Source organism: Homo sapiens, chromosome 1, assembly GCF_000001405.40.
Source record: "Homo sapiens chromosome 1, GRCh38.p14 Primary Assembly".
Classification (NCBI taxonomy): domain Eukaryota; kingdom Metazoa; phylum Chordata; class Mammalia; order Primates; family Hominidae; genus Homo; species Homo sapiens.
Window position 1 is genome coordinate 20,511,110 of NC_000001.11, and position 6,000 is coordinate 20,517,109.

Genomic DNA, 6,000 nt, shown 5'->3' on the forward strand with positions numbered 1-6,000 from the left:
TTAGGGTCTTGTGGGGAGGTAGACATGGACAGTTACAGATTGCCCCAGGTCCAGTGAAATTAGGACAACCAAGTGCCACAGTAGGGAGATGCTGTTTATTTCCACCAGGGAAGGAATTTGAGTTCTGTTAACAGAATGGAGGGTGGAGTGGCTGGGATGGAAGTAGGAAAGGCCTTCCATGAAGAGGGGGGAAGAAACAGCAAAGGTACAAAGCTACCAAGAGTTGGCCCAGTATAGCTAGAGCCCAGGATGTGCGACAGAGAGCAAGGAGCAAGTAATTGAAAAGGAGGGTTGAGGCCAGATCCTGTAGGTCCCTAAATGCCAAACCAAAACTTTAAACTTCATCATTTTGGGGATGGTATCCATTCCAGTAAAGCTTTTTGAGGATCAGCAAGGGTGCAACCTAACCTGTTTTTTAAAAAATATATATAATCAAAATTCTTGTATCCTTAGGTTACAGCAAGGAAGAGAACAAAAACGGGTCCTTAAAATAAAACAGGCAGAGTGCTGCACTGCAATAAGTTAGGGGTCCTTGCTTACAGGTTCTGACTATTTTAGGCCTCCTTGTTTTATTCTCTGGGCCCTTTTATGAGTTCCCTGGGAGCTCATTAAAGCCATCACTCTTAAATGACACAGTTTGGTTTTAAATAACCCTTCCATTTTTTTTGCCAAAGGCTGAAATCCTTCATTAGCTATGCTGAGCACAGTCCTACTGGGACAGTCTGAAATTTACATCATGTGGACCTTGTTAGGAGCAATGAGAGATGGGCAATTTCAGCTGCAGCCAGATGTCCCTAGGGAACCATTCCCAGCCTGGAAGGCTGTCCTCACTGAATCACAAGTTAAAGATGAGCCTCTGACTTCAAGAAAGGGAGGTAAATTCTAAGGCAGGAGGCAGAGCTTCCTGGGAGAAACAGAGTTACTAAGGACAATGCCACTGGGGGGCATTTCACTTTAGATTTAATTCAGATTTCCCCTCCGAGGAGCAAAAATTCCCTGTGAGTCACTGGGTAAATGCCTCTTAGGCATTTGCCAAGGTCCAGGGACCAAATAGGTATGAGAGTGGCCTCTTAGCACCTGCACTGACATTGCCCACAGGTGCCACAGGAAACAGGAAATGAAAAACATGTTAATAGCAGCATCAGGTGGTCACTCAGTTTCCTTCCAGAACGTTCTCTTGGGAGAGCACCTGACATAAGAATTATCTAATAAAGTGAACATATTTTTAGTGAGCATTTATCCTATGCAATGTACTCTCCCAGATGCGTGGCGGGACACAGGGGTAATGTGCAGGACGTGCTCCCTGGCCTCATGGAAGGTACAGGGGAGACTTTTTATGATTTAATCCCCACCTATTTGTGAAAAAAAATCTGAGATAACTTCATTAAGTGGAACACATCATAAGATAGATGTATTAAAAATAAATAGGGCTGGTCGCAGTGGCTCACGCCTGTGTAATCCCAGCACTCTGGGAGGCTGAGGCAGGCGGATCACTTGAGGCCAGGAGTTTGAGACCAGCCTGGCCAACATGGTGAAACCCCATCTCTACTAAAAATACAAAAAAAAATTAGCCAGGCATGGTGGCACACGCCTGTAATCCCAGCTACTCGGGAGGCTGAGGTGGAGGAATTGCTTAAACCCAGGAGGCAGAGGTTGCAGTGAGCTGATATTGCACCACTGCACTCTAGCCTGGGCAACAGAGTGAGACTCTGTCTCAAAAAATAAATAAATACATACATACATACACATATACAGGGCCGGGTGCAGTGGTTCACGCCTGTAATCCCAGCACTTTGGGAGGCCAAGACTGGTGGATCACTTGGGATCAGGAGTTTAAGACCAGCCTGACTAACATGGTGAAAACCCGTCTCTACTAAAAAAATACAAAATTAGCCAGGCATGGTGGCGCAAGCCTGTAATCCCGGCTACTTGGGAGGCTGAGGCAGGAGAATCGCTTGAACCCGGGAGGCAGAGGTTGCAGGGAGGCGGAGGTTGCAGGGAGGCGAGATTGCACCATTGGGCAACAAGAGCAAAACTCTGAAGACAGAGAGAGAGAGAGAGACCAGGCACAGTGGCAGAGAGAGAGAGAGAGAGACCAGGCACAGTGGCTTACACCTGTAATCCCAGCACTTTGGGAAGCCAAAGCAGGAGGGTCACATGAGCCCTTTTAAGGTTATAGTGAGCTATGGCGGCACTGCTGCACTTCAGCCTGGGTGACAGAGTGAGACTCTGTCTAAAAAAAAAAAAAAAAGAAGGAAAGAGAAGAGGGAGGAAGGAGGGAGGGAGGAGAGGGGGAAAGGAAGGAAGGAAAGAAGGAAGGGAAGGAAGGAAGGAACTCAGCTAAAATAAAAGGAGCAGGAAACTGGTGATAGACACCTAAGATTAGTTAATCACACAGTTGGACACCAGCCTTGACTGTGAGCTTCCCAATAACCATGGTAAAAAAGAAATGTGTTGGGGTACGAGCTAATGAAGATAGTGCAAGCACTCAAAAGATTGAATTCGGCCAGGCACGGTGGCGCACGCCTGTAATCCCAGCACTTTGGGAGGCTGAGGTGGGCAGATCACGAGGTCAAGAGATGGAGACCATCCTGGCCAACATGGTGAAACTCCATCTCTACTAAAAATACAAATTAGCTGGGCATGGCGGTGCACGCCTGTAACCCCAGCTACTCGGGAGGTTGAGGTGGGAGAATCACTTGAACCCGGGTGGCGGAGGTTGCAGTGAGCTGAGATCGTGCCACTATACTCCAGCCTGGCGACAGAGTGAGACTCCATCTCAAAAAAAAAAAAAAAAAAAAAGATTCAATTCTAAGCAGTCTGTGAAAAGTCTTATGAAGAGGAAGGCATCAATTTATCTGCAGGTCATAGAGTTGATCCACTGTCTATCCATGAGGATGCTGCTGTCAGAAGCTCATAGAAGGATGTAGGCTTTGAGGATTTCCCAAAAAGAGGTCACATCCAGTGGGGGGTCACACTCAGGGGGTTCATTTTCTGTCTCCTTTGGACCAGTGGGACTTACCCACCATTGATTGGCCAAAGGTTCCAGCAGCAGACAACAACGGGAGACCTTGTGGAAAGAAAAAAGAAAAATGGTCCATGAGAATGGAATGATGGGCCTTGGCCTCACCAGTCACTCCTTCGCTCAGAAGTTCCTCAAATCAGAGTGTTATGAGCCAGGCACTGTCTTTTTTTTTTTTTTTTTTTTGAGACAGAGTCTTGCTCTGTCACCCAGGCTGGAGTGCAGTGGCACAATTTCAGCTCACTGCAACCTCTGCCTCCTGGGTTCAAGCGATTCTCCTGCCTCAGCCTCCTGAGTAGCTATTACTATAGGCGCCTGCCACCACGCCTGGCTAATTTCTTGCATTTTTAGTAGAGACGGGGTTTCACCATGTTGGCCAGGCTGGTCTTGAACTCCCGGCCTCAAGTGTTTTGCCCGCCTTGGCCTCCCAAAGTGCTGGGATTAGAGGCGTGAGCCACTGTGGCTGGCCTACTTTTCTTTTTGAATCAGCTTTAATGACCTATGATAAACTGCACATATTTAAAGGTACAATTTGATAAGTTTTGACATATGTATACACCTGTGAAACCATTGTTACCAAAATACTAGGGGTTCAATCTGGGTCCTGCTGCTCACCACACAGAAGGGTAATTACTAAGAAAATGAGTATTGCCAAGGAAGAAAGCTTTAGGCCAGTGCTGCAGCTGAGGAGATGGGAGCTCGGTCTCAAATCCATCTCCCTGATGGATTAAAACTAGGACTTTATATAGCAGGGAAGAAATGTAGCAATGTAGAAGAAAACAGGAACTCAGAAGGGACAAGGAAGCAATCACGATGAATGAGGGGTCCAGCATTTCATAGTCGGATGGGGTGATCTGGTGAGTTTTGGTTCTTTGATACTTTTTTTTTTTTTTTTTTTTTGAGAGGCCTGAGTTTCCTGAAGAAGTAACTCAGATAAAACAAATGTAAGGTTTAGGAACAGAAATGTCAATTTCTTTTTTGTTTTTTTTTGAGACGGAGTCTCACTCTGTTGCCCAGGCTGGAGCGCGGTGGTACGATCTCAGCTCACTGCAACCTCTGCCTCCCAGGTTTAAGCGATTCTCCTGCCTCAGCCTCCTGTGTAGCTGGGATTACAGGCACCTGCCACCAAGTCCGGCTAATTTTTGTATTTTTAATAGAGACGAGGTTTCACTATGTTGGCCAGGCTGGTCTTGAACTCCTGACCTTGTGATCTGCCTACCTCGGCCTCCCAAAGTGCTGGGGATTACAGGCATGAGCCACTGCGACCGGCCCCATGGCCAGAAGGGTCCATTTCTTTTTTTTTTTTTTTTTTTTTTGAGACGGAGTTTCGCTCTGTCGCCCAGGCTGGAGTGCAGTGGCACAATCTCTGCTCTCTGCAACCTCCACCTCCCGAGTTCAAGCGATTCTCCTGCCTCAGCCTCCTCAGTAGGTGGTATTACAGGTGCACGCCGCCACCTCACCTGCTAATTTTGTATTTTTAGTAGAGACAGTTTTGCCATGTTGACCAGGCTGGTCTCAAACTCCTGACCTCAAGTGATCCGTCCACCTCGGCCTCCCAAAGTACTGGGATTACAGGCATAAGCCACCACGCCCAGCCTGTCTTGCCACCCTTAATGCACACATGAGAGGCCCTAAAATAACTTCTGGTAACTTGGGACTCATTTGGAAAATCAGAGGAGGCGCCACAGACCCTGTTTTGGGAAAAACCTCTGTTTTCCTCATGAAACCCCAAGAATTAAAAGTGGATAAATGGCCGGGCGCAGTGGCTCCTGCCTGTAATCTCAGCACTTTGGGAGGCCGAGGTGGGCGGATTACCTGAGCTGGGGAGTTCGCGACCAGCCTGACCAACATGGAGAAACCCCGTCTCTACTAAAAATACAAAATTAGCCAGGCGTGGTGGCATATTCCTGTAATCCCGCTACTCGGGAGGCTGAGGCAGAAGAATTGCTTGAACCTGGGAGGTGGAGGTTGCAGTAAGCCGAGATCCCGCCATTGCACTCCAGCCTGGGCAACAAGAGCGAAACTCCATCTCAAACAATCAAACAACAACAACAACAAAGCAGATAAATCCCTCTCAAAATCGAAGGCTCTGTTCTGTTTTGCATTGTGTTATCTGACGGTTTGAGTTTTGGGGGTATCAGAAATTACTTCCCATTATGATATCTAGGTAGGAAATATACTTTAAGTGATGGCTAATAATAGTTATGGAGGGATACCTGACTCTTTGACACTTGGATCAGAGAAGCATGCTCTTGGCCACTTGGAAGATAAGGAAATATCTCCACCCCCCACACTGGGAGATGAGACTCCCATGAGAGATGGGCTGATTACAAAATGGGCTGATTGGCTTTGGGTTGCCTTTCAATGAAATGCAGGATAGAGACCAGGCACCGTGGCTCACGACTATAATCCCAGCACTTTGGGAGGCCAAGGATCATCTGAGGTCAGGAGTTCGAGACCAGCCTGGCCAACATGGTGAAACCCCATCTCTACTAAAAATACAAAAATTAGCTGGACATAGTGGTGGGCACGCCTGTAATTCCAGCTACTCAGGAGGCTGAGGCAGGATAATCGTTTGAACCTGGGAGGCGGAGGTTGCAGTGACCTGAGATCACACCATTGCACTCCAGCCTGGGCAACAAGAGCAAAACTCAGTCTCAAAAAAATGGAAGGGAAGGGAAAAGGGAAATGAAATGCAGGGTAGGCCAGGCTCAGTGGCTCACACCTGTAATCCCAGCACTTTGGGAGGCTGAGGCAGGTGGATCACCTGAGGTCAGGAGTTCGAGACCAGCCTGGCCAACATGTTGAAACCCCGTCTCTACTAAAAATACAAAAATTAGCCAGTCATGGTGGTAGGCGCCTGTAATCCCAGCTACTCAGGAGGCTGAGGCAGGAGAATCACTTGAACCCCGGTGGCAGAGGTTGCAGTGAGCTGAGATCACGCCACTGCACTCCAGCCTGGGCAACAGAGCGAGACT